The sequence below is a fragment of the Homo sapiens genome, chromosome 3 (genome assembly GCF_000001405.40).
Source record: "Homo sapiens chromosome 3, GRCh38.p14 Primary Assembly".
Classification (NCBI taxonomy): domain Eukaryota; kingdom Metazoa; phylum Chordata; class Mammalia; order Primates; family Hominidae; genus Homo; species Homo sapiens.
Genome location: NC_000003.12, coordinates 33,916,953 through 33,937,622, shown reverse-complemented (window position 1 = coordinate 33,937,622; position 20,670 = coordinate 33,916,953). Strand labels below are relative to the sequence as shown.

At 43.8% G+C, this 20,670-nt stretch overlaps 1 annotated feature.

The window, feature by feature from the left end:
- Nucleotides 18,470-18,971: an enhancer, noted in NCBI's record as "NANOG hESC enhancer chr3:33960144-33960645 (GRCh37/hg19 assembly coordinates)". NCBI's record gives its function as "activates a minimal SCP1, AML or CMV promoter by ChIP-STARR-seq in primed H9 embryonic stem cells {active_cell/tissue: H9 hESC(primed)}" and the evidence as "EXISTENCE:reporter gene assay evidence [ECO:0000049][PMID:30033119]".

Genomic DNA, 20,670 nt, shown 5'->3' with positions numbered 1-20,670 from the left:
TAACCAATGGGGTGAGCAGCTAAAAAAGAAAATCCTGTGTAGAATTCAGAGCTGCAGACCTTAAAAGAAATCAAGCACACTCAGATCTGCCCAAATGACCAGTGAATGAATACATCCCTCAGTGTAATTAGTACAGTCAAGGATGTTGTTAGCCAAATGATGAAGTAAATTTCATTTTAATTGTTTTGAATTCTATCCCTATTGCCCTAAAAAGAAGAAAAGAAAATGTATTCAGATTATGACCTTTGAGAATTCTGGACTCATTAGCATTTCATACAACACAGCACTGAATTAAAGCAAGAAAATGGATCTGCAATGTTCCCTTAACTGCAGTGTGTATATCATTAATGGCACATAATTAAGGAGGTGTCAGTGTTGGTCCCAGTCTCTGTTGACAATGGCTCACAAACAGCATTTTCAGTCCAATGTAATAGCCAGCTAACAGTGGCTAAACCTGTTCATTAAAAAAATACAAAGGAGACCTAATTTTGCTCCAGTGCTAGGACAGGGGACAAAAGAAATGGGGGGAGTAGGCAATGATGCATATCCTGAACCAGGTTTCTGAAGTTTCTGTAGCCTTGAGGGCTCCCCACAGCTATCGAAGTGAAAGAGCAGGAAAGAGGTGAGGAAAACCAGGCACAGATACAGGCCATGGAAGGGATGGTGAAGGAAAAAATTAGAAAGAAGGGAGGTGGGGAGTGGGAGAGCCATCAGTACTCACCCTCTGCAGCCATTTGGGCAAAGGGGCCTAAGACATCTCTTTAGGAGACTCTTCCCAGAGGAGCCCAGCAATAGCCAGGGTCCCCCATTTTAATCTGTCTGAAGAGGTCTGCTTCAGTTCTCTTGCAGTATCACAAGCCACTCAAACTTAGTGACTTAACACAACAAGGTATTATTTTTCTCAGTTTTGTGGGTTGGTTGGGTTCTGCTCCTTGTGGAATAGCTGTGGTCACTTGTGTGGCTGCATTAAGGTAGGAGCTCTGCAGGGGCTGGAACTTTCAAGATGGCCTCTCATCCTTTAGGGCATCTCTCCTTGAGGCTTCTCATCATCCAGTGATCCATCTGAGCTTCTTTATAACATGGCAGCAAGCTTCTGAGAGACAGTTCCAAGAAGATAAGCCCCAGTGGGCAAGTGCTTATCTAGCCTCTGTTTGCTTTATGTTTACCAGGGTCCCATTGGCCAAAGCAAGTCATGTGGCCAAGCCTAGAGCCAGTGTAGGTGGGGGCTATCCAAGGGCATGAATAAATACCAAGATCAGTGGTTCACTGGAGAGCACCCATCTTGTTACTACAAGGGCACAGGACTTGCTAGAATCAAAGCCATCTTCAGAGGCGTCACTTCTTATTTCCATTGGAGCTGGTGGAAGACACCTAACACAGCAGTGCTGCAGAAACCGTCAGGGATGAAAGATCTCCTCCCAGCCCCGAACCCTTGCACCTCCCCCACTCCACACACACACACAGTCCTCCAGTGTTCCTTTATTCTATGAATGGTGCCATGATCTGTTCCATCACACATGTCCAGAGCCTGAGAGCCCCCCTTGATACTGTCCTCTCCCCTCACCTCCTGACTCCAATCCATTTCCAAATCCTGTCCACTTTTAATCCCCAAATCTGTCTTGAATCTTGCCACCTCTCAGGATCTTCAGGCATCCCTCCAGACAAATGCAGTAACCTCCTAATTGGTCACCCCAAGGCATTTACCACACTGCAACCAGAGCGAACTTTGCAAAACATAAATTAGATTATGTAATGCCCTCCTGCCTCTCTTCCACTCTTAATTCTTTCAAAGTCTTCCCATCACTCTTAAGATAAAGACCAGGGTCCTTTCCTAGCCCACAAGACCCTGGATGCTCTGGCTTCCTCCCGCCCCTCAGTCACTCCCTTGGCTCTCAGCTCTCCAGCCACATCAGCCTTCCTCACTTTCTCAAACACACCCACACTCCTTTCCACCACAAGGCTTTTACAGACTCTGCCTGGTCAACTCTGATGCCACAATCAAATCTCAAATATCACTTGCTCAGGAAATCTTTACCGGGTCTCCCAAACCAAGTGAACTCTCCTTCCCTCAAACCCAGTCATTCTTCACATCTATGTGTATCAGTTACTAGAATATAAGCCCATGAGTGCAGGAACTGGCTTTGTTTTAGGTTTCCTAGCATGAGATAATGTTAACAATAAATATTTATTGAGCACTTACTAGTTGCCAAGTACTATTGCATGTTGGGGATACAGCAGTAAAGAAGACGAAGTCCTTACCCACATGGAGCTTATGGTCTGGTTGGGGAAGCAGGTGACAAAAAAACAAATACACCTACATACTCTGTAATGTCTCCTAGTGGTAAGTTCTAGGAAGAAGATTAAAGTGGAGTAAGGAGGTAGAGAGTGAGAGGAGAAGATGCAATTTTAGATAAGATGTCCAGAATAGGCCGGGCGCGGTGGCTCACGCCTGTAATCCCAGCACTTTGGGAGGCCGAGGCGGGTGGATCACGAGGTCAGGAGATCGAGACCATCCCGGCTAAAAACGGTGAAACCCCGTCTCTACTAAAAATACAAAAAATTAGCCGGGCGTAGTGGCGGGCGCCTGTAGTCCCAGCTACTTGGGAGGCTGAGGCAGGAGAATGGCGTGAACCCGGGAGGCGGAGCTTGCAGTGAGCGGAGATCCCGCCACTGCACTCCAGCCTGGGCGACAGAGCGAGACTCCGTCTCAAAAAAAAAAAAAAAAAAAAGATGTCCAGAATAGGTCTCTCTGAAGAGGTGACATTTGAGCTAAGACCTAAGTAAATATGCAAACGAGTCATGGAACCATATAGGGAAGAATGTTGTAGGCAGTGGGGATGGCAAGTACAAGGGTCCTGAGGACCAAGTATATTCAACATGTACAGCAAGCAGTCAGTAGGCCAGTCCAAGTAGAGACTGGTTAAAAATGAAACTGGAGAAGTAGCCAGGAACATTGTAAGCCATGACAAGTGTATCATTTCCCTAGGGCTGCATAATTGCACCACAAACTACATGGCTTAAAACAAGAGACATTTATTCTTTTATAGTTCTGAAGGCCAAAAATCCAAAATCAAAGTGTTGGCAGAGTTGGTTTTTTCCTGGGGACTCAGAAGGATAATCTGTTCATTCAAAATTCATGTCCTTCCCTGAACAATGGAATACTGCTCATCAATAAAACAGGACAAGCCAGTGACATATGCAACAACATGGATGATTCCCACAGATCCCATGGATCATTCCCACAGATGATTCCCATGATGTTGAATGAAAGAAGCTAGACCCAAAAAAGTACATACTGTATGATACCATTTCTAGGAAGCACAAGACCAGGCAAAACAGATTTGTGAGAAAAGCCTCCTAGCTTCTGGCGGTTGTAAGCAATCCTTGGTGCCCTGGCCTACAGATGTATAGATTGGTGCAAAAGTAATTGTGGTTTTTGCCACCTCTTTTTTTTTTTTTTTTTTTTTTTGAGACAGTCTCACTCTGTCGCGCAGGCTGTAGTGCAGTGTTGCAATCTCGGCTCACCGCAACCTCTGCCTCCCAGGTTCAAGCAATTCTCTGCCTCAGCCTCCCAAGTAACTGGGATTACAGGCGCCTGCCACCACACCCGGCTAATTTTTGTATTTTTAGTAGAGACAGGGTTTTGCCATTTTGGCCAGGCTAGTCTTAACCTCCTGACCTCGTGATCCACCCACCTCGTGATCCACCCACCTCATCCTCCCACAGTGCTGGAATTACAGGCATGAGCCTCCGTGCCCAGCCGGTTTTTGCCACTTTTAATGGCAAAAAACACAATTACTTTCACAGCAACCTAATATCACTCCAATCTCTGGCTCTGGTGTCACATGGCGGTCTTTCTACTGTTTGTGTGTCACTCTGTGTCTCTTTTCTTCTTATAAGGACGCCAGTCATATTGGGTTAAGGGCCCACCCTACTCCAGTATGACCTCATCTGAACTGTACTAATTATATCTGCAATGACTCTATTTCCAAATAGTTCACATTCTGAGCTTCAGGGAAGAACATGAATTTTGGAGGGACACTATTCAACTCAGTAACATGAGGAGTTGGGGTTTTATTCTAAGTGTTGATAGCAATGAATGAATAAATGAGCAAACAGACAAATGCAGGAGTAAATGATCAACTAGGTGAAATAAGCAGCCATCACTTGCCGAGGGCACCAGATGGGCCTTTGTAAGTCACCAGTGGACACTGCTCTGTGAAGGGAAAAGGCTTTTGCCTCTGGCCCCTCTTTCTGACTGGCTATTCAAATAGTGTTTTTCAAAACTTTGCAGAAGGCATAAAGATATCGCTCAAAGTTTAAAAAAAAAAAAAAAAACAAACAAACAAACAATGCTCACAGCAATGAGCTTCCAGATTCCACACAGGGAGATTTTCAGAGCACACAATATTTCTGACAGGTGGCCACCCCCCTTGTCTCTTGCACCCCCAAACCCAGTTCTTCCAGACTATTGTGTATATATATATACACACACACATAATTAGGCCTGAATTTGGGTCTACCCAACATAATGACAAGTGCCCAAAGAAGGCCAATCTTATTTCCCTGCTCAGCCCTCATTATAAGTCTCAGCTGATGGGCTGCTGAGTCCTGACACTGCACATTTATTTAGAATTGCAAACACCTGTGTACTAGAAAACCAGGCCAGCAGAAAGTCTTGCCTCCTCCTCCCCACCCCCTTCCCCAACAGCCTCTATCTTCAGGGGCAGCCTGTCCTCCTGCCACCCCTGAGGCCCGAAGCCAGAAGTCACAGTGATGCATGCACCTAATGAAGGCAAACCTCACCCACATAAGAACCTGAGACAGCCTCATTAAGCTTCCCTGGCAGTGCAGTCCCATTCCATGCTAAGGTGCTATCCCACCAGGGGTTAAAGAAATAATTATTGTGGGGCTGGGAGACTTCGTAAATAGCATTCGCCTAAGGAGGAAGCAGGTTTCCTGAGCCCAGCTGAGAAATACAATTAAGCTGTAATATTTTGTCAGGGCTTTTTCCTCCTCCTTACTGTTTATCAGTGTTAAGAGACAATTTATACTTTGCAATTCTCTGGGATGGTGAGTGTACCTCACAGCAGGCAGGTAAGATTAAACTGTCTATCACAAGGCGCTGGCCTTCCATGTTGCTACATACACATAGCCGGGGAGATGAGAGCCTTGAGCACTAGAGGTCTTCTGACTTGAAACTTCAGTGGCTGAGAGCAGGGCACATCATTGCCTCCTCTGCCTAAACTATTGCCCAGAAGCTGGAATCAGGACCAATAGGAAAATTCAGAATTTCTCTTACACAATGGGAAGCCTACAGTCCTCTCTTCAACACAGAGATGTCTTGTAGCTTTACTCCCAAGGGTCGCTGCTTCCCCAGTGAGTCGAAAATGGGGTCCATTAGGAACCTCCCTTCCTGCAAGATAATCTATGACTAAGCTGAAGGCACCATGATTAATTCATTTCTTCACACAACTCATGTAATGAATACATTCAAATGAGGTAATGCATCTCAGAGGGGACACATTTAGCCTGTCTTGAAGTCCAATCACCCTTGGATTTCTCTGTTATAGTTTCCTCACCCTGAATAACTGAAAATCTTTTGACTCTCTTTATCTGTGTTTCATCCACTTTGAATGTGTATGTCCACAAACAGACTTGTACATGAATGTTCACTGCAGTGTTACTCAAAATAGCCAAAAACTAGAAACAATTCAAATGCCCAGGAGAAGGGATAAACAAACTGTGGCATAGTTATACAATGGAATACTGCTCACCAAAAATTAGAACAAGCCAGTGACACATGCAACAACATGGATGATTCCCACAGACATGATGTGGAGTGAAAGAAACTGGACCCAAAAAGTACAAACTGTATGACACCATTGCTATGAAACACAAGATCAGGCAAAACTGATTTATGGTGACAAGGCAGAATAGTGGTTTTCACCAGAGGGGGAATTGACTGGAAGGACATTTTCTAGGATGATGAAAATATTCTATGTCTTGATGGCCCAGTTGTCACATGGGTGTATATTCTTGTAAAAAAAAGCCACCAAATGTACATTTAAGATTTATTCATTTTACTATATGTAAATTAAACCTCAATAAAGAACTTCTAAAATTTACTCATGATGTCATTTAACTTGAATTGTATCCTCCCCTCCAACCTACTAGACTGTCCAAAGCCTCTAGCAGTCTGCTCAAAATAAACTTTTGCCAGCACTTTGGGACTGTTGGCTTCTCCACCAGGCTGTAAACTCCCAGCTCACCATGGGGTCCTTAGATGTTTGCTGGATAGATGAATGGGTGGATGGATGGATAGGTGAATGGATACATCATTCCCTCCACCTTACAGAAAGAGGGAAACCTATCCCACAATGCTTAATTCCTCACCCAGACGAAGGGCTGAATCTGTGCTCATTCAATCATCCACCCTCACCTGGGCCCCCAGGTGCCAACAACACATAGCAAGGTAATGACCAGTTAGGGTCAGACTACATGACCAGATGAAAGACTTAATTTAACGGTCCCACAGGTGATGAAACAATAACTTAGGCTGTATCAGTGGTCCATTCATCTGAGCTACTAGAAAACCATATTTATAAACTACAATGAAAAAAGTACTAATTTGGATAACCCATATTAATCCAAAAATGACTTATATATGTATCTTGAAAATTGTCACTGTTGTCTAATGGTTTAGTTCAAGATTTTCTTACTGGAAGAATGGCTACAATGAGCAGGAAGTACATCAAATTAGCTAGGAAGATGGCAGGGCGGAGAAAACACTTTTATGGGCAACTAAAGTCTGAGAATCTATTTCCAGTACAAATGCAATTAGTCTTTGGATCTCTGTTATCAGGGGCATCTTGTTTAGACTAAAACCGTCCATGTCAGGATCCATTTCTCTGCTTTGTACCAGAGTTTGGAGTCTTTATCCTTTTAACTCAATGTATACACAGGAATTTTCCTTGGAGGACCAAGAAAAAAATCTTGGCTATAAAATGCATTCTCAATTCCTTTACAGAGAGAGAGAGAGATTCCTCAGACTTCAAGGAAAGGTACACAGGGGAGAGCAGCAGCACCACCTTGCTTGAAAGGGGGATTCTTTCAGCCTTCTGGGGTAGAATAGATGCAAAGGTTTGAGCAGAAGCAAAGGTTACAGGTGTAAAAATGTTAAAAAGTGTATAGCTAAATGTTGAGAGTGCTGAGGTAATATTAGGCATTGATTTTTTTAAAGATAAATGCTAAACCAAACTTGCCACACATGTCTCTCTACATACTGAGTCTGTGATATCTGAGTTACAACTAGTTAGGCTTTCATAAACAAGGATGATGTTGTTCTTCTAAACCAACAGAGCATGCAACTGTAATGGATTATACAGCCTCCAGAAACCTGATCCTGGATGAGCCACCGCCTGTATTTTACAAAGCTTACTCTACACAGGGTGCTATCCTCAAGCAGCCAGGAGCCCACAGCCTACAGGTACCAAAGTTAATCAGGTGGCTATTTGTAGCAATCCCCCATAGACAAAGGTAAGTGTGTGCATGCACACACACACATATGTACACACACATTCACTCACTCATGCACATGCACACACATGCATGCGCACACACACACACACCCATCCCACCCTGCCAGCATCCCATCACCAGGTGCCAGAAAAACCCCAACTGTATAGCAGGTCCCCCTGGTCTGAATATACCACAGAGAATATAAGACTTCTGAAACTTGTATCCCACAGCTCCAATCTGTAAACTCAGTTTTCAGAAGCCTTTCTTCCCTGCACCTTGAGAAGCCCCATGTCACGTTTGTCTGACCATACACTGGGGCTGTCAGTGGGAGGGTAGCCACCAATGGCATGGGCCTCCCCACACTCCTTTTTCAGTGTTTCACAAGCCTCTGACAAAAGCAGCTGCAGAATGCCTGTGTAGCATATTTTCACACTGTCTCCCTAAGAAAATTCCACTGTCTCTCTCATTTATCATATTCGCATAAGGGGCATGGGGATGTGATCCACAACTTGTGGCTAATGCAACCACATCTTTGCCTGCACAAGCTGGAGACAGGAAGAGACAGAGCCAAATTGAAGTTTGAGGGCAGCCAATCTGGTCGGAGAAGGCTCTGAGAAGAAGTACTCACCTCTGGAATGAAAAAAGAATCAGGAGACCATGAGAAAACTGACCCCTATAGAGCAGGGAACCTAGGAAAGAAAAAGAAACATGTGTCCACCATGGTGTCAGGCAATCTACACCCTCGAGTTTAATCCCAGCTTCCATCCTGTCCAAGGACCAGCTGAGGCTTCAAAAAAGGGGTGGTGGCAGGAGCTGCTTCAGATCATGGGCCCTGAAGCTCTCAATTGTGGCACTCACTCACTGAGTAACACAGCTCTGGGCCTCAACACTTTATAAATGGGCCTCAGTTTGTCCATCTATAAGGTACAGATTAGGATTAAATGGCTAATGTATATAAGGCCCAGGGCATCATGTCTGGCACATAACAAGTACTCAAAATTACATTAGAGATTAACACAAAGATAAATAAGAATCTCAACAAGATCTGGAGGGCTGCTCTTAGTCCAGAACCACCACTGCTAAGGTTGTTTCCGGACAGAAGGCATCATTCCACTTGTGGCTCTTTCGTTATCACCTCCCCTGGACAGCCTGGGGGACCCTCTTCAGTCTCCGGATGTTCCTTGGGCCATTGTTATCACTATCCATTTTTCCTTCTGGTGACAGGAAGAGGAACAGAAAGGAAAGAGCAATGGGAGGGATTGCTATGTCCACCCTACTTTGTGCCATGATGGCCTCGTCACTCAGAGGCACCCACAGGCCTGGCATTTAGGGCCCAAGACTCGCTCTCCTTCCCAGAGAAAGCCCCAACTGCAGGCCTGTCCTGAGTCATTGGGTGAGTTCCCCAGCAATGTTCTCTGTCCCCCACCACCACCATAAGCCCATTCTTGGGGTTCCTTGTGCACGTACAGCCCAGGAAACTGGATGCCTCCATGGTCGAGACACCTGGTGATCTCCAGGCCCTTGGTCAACATCTTTTGAAGAAATTGATTATATTTTAAGTCAAGATGGAAATGAAGGAGCCAAGAAATCCCCCAGTCCTCTTTCTCCTGCACGAGGTTTCTACCTAAGAAAAAACCTCTTGTTCTTAGCCTGAGAAGACACAGTGGTGGAACCTGAAAGTTTATGAGACTAAAGAGACTTAAACAAGATGAAAAACAGGAGAAAGAGAAATAGCTGCACCAGTGTATGTGTGGGAGGAAGCTGAGTCCAGGGTGGGAATTAGAAGCCTGGATAGTGATGGTGAAAAGTGAGGGGCAGCAGGGAGGGAAGAAGTCTTGGGGCCCAGAGTAGGGTGAGGAAGGAAGACACAAGATAAACATTGAGAGGATAAAAGACCAGCCCAAGCTCCTGAATCTCTACCTCACATTCATCATCTCGAAAATAGGATGCCTGCCATCCCCACTCTAATCTTGACAGGAAGCACTTCATAAATATGCTATTCTATAGAGGTGTTTGTTGTCATACGAATGCCACCTTTTGCCAGGCCTCCCTGTCAACTTGCTCCTTTCGTCGTGAACTGCAGCTAATTGAATAAAATAAGAGTGGTTTCATACCCCAGAGCAAAAACACTGAGCATCCTCAGTGTTTAGGAGTGATGGCACACCTTCAGGTTTCCATTCCGAAAAATATATATATATTTTTACCAAATGTCTGTGAAAGGCAGATGACCTAAAATGGAAAAACGCTTACGGCAGAGATTAAGAGGGAATAAAGGAGAGAAAGGGACGAGTGAAACAGCTTCTACATCCCAGTTTCTTCCAGTTACGTTCGGAAGGTTGAAACATCCCCCAAATGCTCAGCTCACTCACTTCTCAGAATCCATGTGCTTACCCTCTGTACATTCCAGGGAATGACACTCCATGCAGAGGATGCCAGAAGGTGCTAGAAGACACTGGAACGTGCAGGTAGCCCTTGTTGACTGCACAGCAGCAAGAGATTTTGAAGGACCCTCAAGCTTTTCTCTCCCCATCTTTATGATCCCATTTACTGAACCACCCCACTGAACCTCCAGCTGCACAAGCCTTGTCTGCATCTTTATCCTCAGAGCCTGTCACGGGAAATACACATCAAGCTCAGGAAGTTCTCATGCACTTTTCTGGAACAGGAGGGCCTAGATACTCAATTTCATACACACTGATAGGTCACTGATGTAACAGGCATGGTTATCTGGTTGACCTGGAAACTCATAGTTCCTCTCCATGTTATAAATACTGAAGCACTTCAAACAGCAGAGACAGTGAAAAACCAAGAAAGCTAAAAAGATAGCAAATAAGGGGGGAAGGGTGGAAGAAAAACATAACAGTCTGGAGGCATTTGGTGCAAACTTGAGTGCAGTTCCTCAAAATATCCCCTAAGTGAAGCCACAGAGACGGTGCTGCAGCTCAGAACAAGAGGAGCCGCATCATCTTCATGCAGCAAATGATGTACTCAGCATACTCAGAATTCCTCATGCCTATCTCAAAATCCTTCTCAAAAATGAATCTTTTTCCATTTCTTTGCATCTATTAATAATGACTTCATTTTCAAAGGGAAAAAAAGTGCTACCACAGCACAGTACAATAAAACACCCTCATTTTTAAGAGATGAAAAGTCCTAAACTTCAATTCTCCAGAAAGAGCCTGTGAATGCCCAAGGTAAACCCGGTATTAAAATTCAGCTAGGAAAGTCTCTCTCAAACTCTATGTGTTCTTACTTAACATAGAATTTCAACACCTTTCCAGACTGGATTACAGAAGACAAACTATGGGAAGTTCTGGTAAAGGCAAGGATACAGATAGGAGAAATACACTGAAGGGTAATATCTACTACCACACATACTACATAAGTACTGTTCATAATGATGACCTTAGGTCCGCATAGAAAAGGTGAACTTACATAATCTATGGAAGAGGAGGGGAGTGGGAAATATAGATGGAATAAGGTTGGTCAAAGTTGGCTATGAATTGTTGAGGCTGGCTGTTGGGTACATGGGGTTTATCACATGACGCTCTCACTTTTGTATATGCTTGAAATTTTTCATAATTATAAAAAGATATTTCAAGGCTGAATTGATTTTAGGGCACTCTGCTTTAAAAGGGTAGAAATCACATCATACATTTTGAAACTATTTATTTCAAAAACAATCCCACTAAAATATGAAGGCACTTTAAAGGATATACTCCAAAAATACACATTTATCTAAAAATAACTCATTTCTCGGCAGTAATTTCTTTATGTGGGGAGAGGGGCTGTGTCTATGTGGATCCTCTCTCTCCCTCTCCTTCCCTCTCTCTCTGCCAGGGCCCAAGTCTATTCTTTCTGCACTGATAATCTCCTCCACACAAACCAGCCAGCTCTGAAACATGCAGCCCAATGCACTGGTAGCCATAGGAGATGAAGATGCTGGGCTTTTTGCCAGATCTTGCATCAGGAAAGATGCCTTCCCGAACTGAAGGGCACAAGTACCTGGAATCAGGATTTCTATCTGCCACTGACTGACTAGGTAGGCTGGTGAGGGCCAAGCTAGATTCAGGTTCTCAGATTTGGGGTTGGCACACATGCATCATCACTACCCTACTCCTGGAGCCTGAGGGGTTTCACCTACCCACTTCACGTTGGCCATTAGGGAAAATTGGTGCTGCAGAGCAATGCACTCTCAGACCAACACTAAATTGAGTTTGCAGGAAACATAAGCAGTCAAGTCTGAGCAGAATCTAATCATTCATTCCAAAGCAGGTTAATTTGTTCTTTATATGTTCACATCAACAATGTCGCAATGATTTGGGCTCAACATCCCGGGATTGTGGAAGGCAGCCAGCCTTGGTATTCCAGGGGGTGTGCTTTGAAGCTGCAAATTATTTGCTCTTTGTGAATACTTAGAGCTACTGGCCTTCCCTATGTGCTCCTGTCAAGAACCATTTGAGGGGGACCTTGGTAGTGATTCTTGAGGAAACAATGCACCAAAGTGGGTAACTCTTATGGACAGTCACTTAAGGCAATAGTGGCCATCCACTTCTTTTATATCAGTCCCCATCTCATGGAGTGGCACCATCAGCAATCTGAAAACAAACCTGGACACTCACCCAGATGCTACCTTCTCCACTACCCCACATCCAATACAGTCCATTTTAATTCCTAAATATCTCTCACACCCATCCCAACTCTCCGTTTCCACTGCCAATGCCCTCATCTGCTCTAATTTCCTTCAGCTTACTGAGAAAAACGTTCAAAATGAGGCCAAGGAAGGGAGGAAGCACCTCTGCACCCCAGGAAGGAAGATGCTCCGTTCCTGCAGGTAAAATGTGGTATCATTGAATGTCAAATCCTCCCTGTGTCTCAGCATCTGACTCAACCCATCATCCAGAAGTGGAGCCAGTCAGGCCCAGCACCCAGGAGGGAGATTTGCTTGAAGGGTTATCCCTGAGAACCACTCAAGGTAGGAAGCAGAAAATCAAAAGCTCCATCCCAAGGAGAATGAGAAGGTGGTTGAGGAACCCAGTCACGAATCTGGCATGAGGCTGCTGGGGTAAAAAGCTAATGGTTGCATCTTCCAACAAGGCAGGCTGGCTCCATGTGAAGCTCATTCTAACTCTTGAGGTACTCAGAGAGGTAGCCTGTTGACCCAACCAAAAGCATTTTGTTCATGGTGTTTTCCAAAACTGGGCTTCACAGTCTTTAGCTGGAACATGCCATCTCCATTTCATCCAATGCCCCACCATACCTGACAGCATGAAACATTTCTGCAACCTTCTGAACCCTCGACACATTTAATTTTTTACTCCCATAATTTGAGCCTAACTGTCAACAGAAAGGCCCAGGGGAGCACTTTTCTTCCTGATCCAGTGGTTTCTAGAAAAGGAGGAAGGTAGGGTCTGGCCCAGGACCTCATGCCAAAAACAAAAAGTAAGGCAAGTCAAATGTCCTTCAGGTATTCACAGGCCAATAGACCCAAAGAGAAAAGCAAACAGCCCTCAAAGTCAAACTAATGAGAAGTAGAGTGTACAGCAAACTTCCAAGACCAGGCGGCATGGGAGTGGCGGTGGTCAGGGCTATCACCCAGCTGAGGGGCTGGCTCATGTGTCAGCCTCCCTTGGTGCCAGCCACACAAATGGTTCGTTTGAGGAACCCCTACAGAGGTCTTCAAATGGATGGCTGCAGTCTCTTCCATAGTCCCTGCTCCTGCCTGTGCCTTCTCGCCAAGAGCAGAACATCCCTGGGTGAAAGAACAGTTGAAAGATCAAGGCTGCAGGTGTCCCTTCCCCTGTGCTTGCCCCAGAGAAGACTCTACTACCACTGGCCCTCAAGGGGATAGGAGGCCTCTGTCAAGTCCTCCCCATCCCAAGTGGAGTTCCTCATGTCCAGTAAGGTCCTGGCACTTCCATCTCCTGCCTTTTAAAGAATGTGGTTCAACCTGGCCGGGCATGGTGGCTCATGCCTGTAATCCTAGCACTTTGGGAGGCCGAGGCGGGTGGATCACCTGAGGTCAAGAGTTCGAGACCAGCCTGGCCAACACGGTAAAACCCTGTCTCTACTAAAAGTACAAAAATTAGCCAACTTGGTGGCAGGTGCCTGTAATTCCAGCTACTCAGGAGGCTGAGGCATGAGAATCACTTGAACCTGAGAGGCGGAGCTTGCAGTGAGCCGGGATCTCACCATTCCACTCTAGCCTGGGTGACAGGAGTGAAATTCTGTATCAAAAAATAAAATAAAGAATGTAGTTCAATCCAGCTATTTTTTTTTTTTACTTTTGAAACCCTTTATAGAAATCTATATTATCCAGAATCCCAAGTGGAAGGAGCCAATTTCTGGGTGGTTCTGGAGGTGGTAGTATCCCTCCCAGACAGAAGAGATCCTCTCCAGGAAGCCCAGAGGAACCATCATAGACTTGAACACAAAAAGGAAAATTCTCATGTGTAGATAAAGAAATTGAAACCCAGATAAGTTAAATGACTTTCACAAGGTCATGCATCTGTTTTACAATAGGCTAGAACTAGAAAGTACATTTTCTTATAGGAATATGTATGGCGCTGTCTCACCAGACATCATGTTCTCTTCCTAACTTTGAATAGCAAGCACCCTCACCTCTCAAGGAGGGACCTAGTTTTGCATCATAGAAATTGCCTGAAACTGAAATATAAATATGAGTCTAACTAATGATAGAATTCTTATCCTTAGGTGAATAACATTCTGTTAAGAATGTTAAAAGGATGGGAAAACTATTTGGCAACTTATAGAAGATCCTCATATGTCATCATACTTTCCAAGTAAAGTTATTTCCAAAAATATCTACCTGTAACTTCAATTGAATACAATATGCATAGATAAAATCATAAAGATTTATGTCAGCTACTTGAATTAGCATAAGTCCCCGGCCTGAAAGAAATTAAACAAGTTTTTTTTTAATGTAGTGTCTTGAAAGTGTTTGAGTTAAAAAAAAAAAAAAAAAGATACACTCTCATACACTGTGACAGACTATATGAAAAAATAGTCAAAAATTCTTTGCTATGTGACTTCACAACTTCTCCCATCAAAAGGTAGAGTCTATTTACCCACACTTTGAATCTGGACTCATCATGAGATTTGCTTTCACCAATGAGATGTTAACAATAAGTACAAGATAACTGGAGGCTAGAAAAGCAATTGTACCCTGGGACTTGCCCTCTCTCTTACTGCTCAAGGAACCATGCAAACACAACCACCATGTAAATGGGTCCAGCTAACCTCCTGGAGGATGAGAGTCCATATGGAGGAGAGCGGAAGTGTCCCAGCTGACAGCCAGCCAACCACCAGCCCATGCAAGTGAGGTCATCCTGGACTGGTCACAAGCCAATCCACTAACTGCCCACAGACTCAGTGAAAGCCCATCTGGAAGGCCATCATTCCAGCCATGCCAGGTCAGGAGAACCATGGCAACCCACAGAATCAAGAGCCACCAAGTGTTGAAGTGGCTTGTTATGCAGCAAAAGCTACCTGATTCATTTTCCAGCATGGCAGATACCTTCATATTATCAAAGTCCAATGACATCAGAAATCTCTTTCATTTTGTTAAGGAAAAGAAAAAATATTATGGAGTGGGCCAGCAGAGATTTCAACCTGGGACTGATAATTATTTCTCTGAGTTTTCTTCCACACCAGCCCAAGAAGCCCCGTGGTGAAAGGCCTCCCATTTGTTTTTATTTCTTTGCTGATAACCACCACTTCACTGTGGTTGAAACTTCAGTGTGGGTATCAGAAATCAATAATCAATACCAAGACTCATCTAATGTCCACCAAGGATTCCAAATGATGAAAGAAACCAACAGAGATTAAGTTACATGGTACCCACAGATTGGTCTCTTTAATTTCACCAACCATGTTCATTGTGATCCTGTCACTGAGCAGTATGGGATTGGATCTTCTCTGAGTTTCAAATCCTAGATGAGTTGTACATGTCAAGCAATGGCTGCTCTTTTCACCTGCTGGTATCATTCACTCCTGCATTCACTTTTTTATTTGCCCATTTGTTCATTCATTGCTATCACACACTTAGAATAAAACTTGAAGTCCTCATTTTGGCTTACAGGGTTAATAGCTACATCATATCTCAACACTCAGTTCACCCTGACCTCCTAGCTGCTCAAGTCACACACATAAAACATCCTTTGTCCTCAGGGCTTCTGTACTTGCTAAGGCAATTCATCAGCTCCATGTAGTCTCTCATCCTCCAGAAGCCTAGCCTGGGCCTGCCTACACGGTAGTAGGTAGCTCAGCAAGTTTCTGAGAAAAAGAAAGCAAGCGCATAAGACCTAGGATGGGAACTGGCACTTAGTCACTGCTGCCACATTCCACTGAACAGAGCTGGTCACAGGGCCAGCCCAGATTCAAGGGATGGGGAAGCAGACTCCACTTCTTGACAGAAGCAGCTTCAAAGTCACAGAGAAAAGAGGGATAGGTAGTGGAAGGAGAGAAACTTTGACCATTTTTGCTATCCATCATATTGACATAGGCCTACAAAAAGGCCTAAGAGAACCATCCCAGGGGTGGGAGCTGGGCTTTTTACTTTTTAAATTTTTTATTGGTCTGTAAGAGTTGTATATATTGGGTGGGTACATGTGATATTTTGATACATGTATACAATGTGTCATGATCAAATCAGGGTAACTGGGATATCCATCACCTCGAACATTCGTCTTTTTTCTTTATATGCTTTCTTATCTCTGTTGGATTTTGAACCCATTAAACGATAAATAGACAAATTTTAACTAAATTGTTTTGAACTTTTTTATTCTTAATGTCTAGTAAGGAAGGAGATGGAAACTTTTAGCTAAAGAAAACATGGGGCTTTGGGCAGGGCACGGTGGCTCAGGCCTGTAATCCCAGCACTTTGGGAGGCCAAGGCGGGCGGATCACCTGAGGTCAGGAGTTTTCGAGACCAGCCTGGCCAACACAGAGAAACCCCGTCTCTACTGAAAATATAAAAATTAGCCGGCATGGTGGCAGAAGTCTGTAATCCCAGCTACTCAGGAGGCTGAGGTGGGAGAATTGCTTGAACCTGGGAGGCAGAGGTTGGAGTGAGCCAAGATCGTACCACTGCACTCCAGCCAGGGTGACAGCGAGACTCCGTCTCCCAAAAAAAAAAAAAAGAAAGAAAGGAAGGAAGGAAGGAAGGAAGGAAGGAAGGAAGGAAGGAAGGAAGGAAGGAAGGAAGGAAATATGGGGCTTTACCATTTAAGATGAATAACCACATGTTGGCTGGGTCACATATCTCATTTGTCAACTTCTTTGCGTTTCGGTTCTTTCTAAAGTTCTACCTGTCCTTAAAGTGTGAGATAGCTGAAGTGTCAGTCCAGAGGGGCAGTATAATGTGATGTTACACCCAAGACCTCCAAGTCACACCTACAAGGGTTTGAGTTTGAGTTATGCCATTTCCTGTCTGTGGAATCTCAGGCAACCCATCCATCCTATTTCAGTTACAGTTTCCGCCTCTGTAAAATGGAGATAACATTTATCCTGTAAGATTTGGGTAAGGATTAGAGAAAATATATACGGAATACCTAGAGAAGTATCTGGCACATAAGAGATGCAACAAATGGTAAGTATTATTTAGAAAGTAGAAATTTGCATTTTCTTTCCACAAACCATTTCCTATATTACTTTTAAAAATAAACCCTTTCAGATCAGACAGCTAGCTAGTGCCCCCACAGGAAGCCTGTTAGTCAACTCTTGAAAAAGGCATGAAAATCTGCTTATTGTTTTTGATTTTCAAAACCCAGGTCTACTTAAGGTAAACAATGCTGGTGTTAATCATTGTCACTCAGAAAGCAAACCTATCCCCTAATCCATTAAATATACCATCAAAAGACACTGGGCATTTTTTACAGATATAAATGAGTCAGGTCTCCAGGCACCCAGAGGCTGGGACCAGCACAGAGACGAGTAGGGTTTGGAGAAAATTAGACTCTAATTCAGAATTTAGGTGGCTAATAAGAAAACAGTATGATGCTATATGCTCTGGAAGGTCTCCTATAAACTCCAGAGAAATAAGGCTCAGGTCTATAAGATGCCTCCTGGGATTTGAGCCTATAACTGGGATGGATCAAGTGGATTATCAAAATTTTAACTAGGCTGATTGCATTCTTGCCAGCTTAAGCACAAAGGCACATCTCTGGAAGGGTAGGGCTCCACCCTGGCTAAGAGCTCAGAAACAGAAAACTTGTGGTACCCAGCCAGTGGGGGTCAACACCGTCCTGGAAGCTAAGATGTGAGGCAGCTGTTCGGGGTGCCTGCTGGGTGGCTAAAGACTAAAGACATTTGCTTTCCAAAGACAAGCTCCAGCTCACGCTCATTCACACATACAGATTTATTACCCAAACACTGTCTGAGAAGCAAAATTTTATGTCTTTGACAAAGAAAGAGCATTCTGAACTAAGAATTTACAACAATCAAGAAACAACAAAAAGATACAGTCCTTTGCATCCAAACAGTGCAGCAGTCTGAGAAATGATCATGGCTGCGTTCCTTGAGGGCATTCATCAGAATGACAATGAGAAACTGGAAACTTCCACAGTGGAAGGGCCAGGGCTGGCACAAGTGTGATGAGGGCTGAAGTGCTCATCCAGACTGCTGGCTGTTCTCGCCTCCTAGCTAGCCTGCCCTGTGATTCACCCCTGTATCCTCTCCCTCCTCCATCCCATTCCTCCAACATCAAAAGCTAACCCTGAGGAATGATCGAATTAATCCAGGGACTATCAAACGTTTTTCTGTTAAATGCCAAATAGTAACAATTGGAGGCCTCACAGGCCACATGGTCTCTGTTGCCAACTACTGAATTCTGCCACTATAATGCAAAATTAGCCATAGACAAAACGTAAATAAGTGGCCATAGATGTGTTCTGATAAAACTTTATTTATGGATACAAAAATCTGAATTCCATATAATTTTGGTGTATCATGAAATCTTTTGCTTTTTTTTCCAACCATTTAGAAATGTAAAAATTATTCTTAGCTCACAGGTCACACAGATTCAGGCTGGCAGGCAGAATTTGGCCTTGGGGCTATAGCCTGCCAACTCCTGATCTAATCAATTCACACAATCTGAGGAGTAAATGACTACTGAGGTTGAAAGTGTCACCTTTCCCAGGGTTATATGCATGTAAGGGCTCAACAGAATCCATTCTTTCAGTAAGTAGTTACTAAGCACCTTCTAAGGGCCAAGCAACAAACTAGACACTGGTGATATACCAGGTGACCAAAAAAAGGCCTGGTCCCCAAGTTCCTGGAGCGGATGGGTTAGCAGGGAACTTCTCTGATTATATGATGTGAAGACATAGCTGGGCACTGGGGAGAGGATATCTTAAAATGACCACAAGGCTCCCTGGACACAGAATCCACACCACTGAGCCCAAAGTGGACCTTGGACAAACCCAATGGCTAAGCCAGCCACAACACAGCCCTGCCATTCTAGACAGTTTCTTCAGGCTCTAGAATTTCCTGAGGAAGCCACAACTGCTTTCTCCCTGCAATGCTGTTAGATGATAGGCCTTAACTGTGTGTATCTTGGAAAGACTCGTGCTTTTTGTTTTGTGGTTAGGGTGCAGTGCAGGGGTGAGGGGACCGGGCAAGGGAAAGAATTGAATGATATTAAAGCTCAAATCACAGAGTTGTGATGGGATTAACATCTGTTCCTAGGCAAATTTACCAATGATAATTCAGAACTTCACATTTTCTGGGCAACAAGACTCATTTACACAGAGCATTTGAAAATTCTGTTGTTCTGTCTCCCTAGCCTGTGAAGAGCATGCAGAACGCAATCTGCACTTGCTTATTTTGTATCTAAGCAACTGTCAGATTCCATATCTACTAATAAGAAAGGGTATAATTATACCCTGATACTTTAATTAGTAGCAGATGCCTGTGTTTGTGAATAAAATGTAAGATTTTTAGAGGTCCGGAAGCTCAATTATATGCAAACTTCAAGTGCCTGATGTTTAGGCCCCTAATTCTTCCTGTTGGTCAGCACAGACACAGAAGCCCAAACAGTAGCCTTTACCAGATTTCACAATAGTGAGGAGGGCTGGGGGTCTATTTACCTGAGATATTCATATCATTGCATACCACTGTGTAATAGATGCAGCCATTCACTAGCAATTTTCCAGAAAAGATGGTAACATCTTTATTTTTAATTCACCATTTCTTTCTACCTACAAAACCTACTCAAGTAATACACCCTAAAAGAAAAGAAATAGAACTTGGAGAATGAGGGCAGCCCACTGTAAATTGTGGTTGGGTTGCAGTTTGGACAGCATCTTCCTGGGTGTATTTTTGAGTTTATCTATCGCAGAAGGTGTATTTCCTCAAGCAAAAAAAAAAAAGAAAGAAAGAAAGAAAAGAAAAAAAAGCCTTTAAGTGTACTAGCTTGGTTTTTTCCCCCTCTTAGAAGTTAAAGCAAGTTCCCATAAATTAAAAAATAAATAAATTTGCTTCCTCAGGTCTAAAAGCACTATGTCTTGTATCAAGGCCTTTGGGGAAGGACAAAAGTGATCAAACATGTCCTTGGAATCACTAATATTGCTGCTTACTCATTTCCACCCGGTAAATGCAAAGCCCTCAAGGTTTAAAATATCATCAGAATTAAAAAAAAAAAATGAAGAAAGGAAGGAAAGAGGGAAGGCAGGGAGAGAGGGAAGGAGGGAGGGAGGGAGAGAAGAAAGAAGGAATGAATCCTTCCATAGTCTATGCCTGTGTTCATCACTCACCAGCAGGCCAGCCAGGTGACCTGGGCTTACAAGTTGAATCATAAGCTAGATGGATAAGCTGATCACTAATCCATATACTAATAGGTACTGTGTCTCATACTCTTCGTTATAACCTAGATCTCCAGCACAGGGATTGGCCCAGAGTGGGCACTTGCCTATGTTTTGCTGAAATAAACCAAATGGAATTCTCTGGGCCTCAGTTTTCCCATCTGAACAAGGCAAGAGAGAGACAGAATAATTTCTAGCATCCATCCTATAATTCTGAACCCTATTACCTATAGGCTTGTAGACTTCTGCACTGGTCAGCTGTCCAGCCAAGCCTAAATTCAGCTTAGAGAAAGAGAATAACTTGCAAAAGTCCAGATCCTGAACTTAA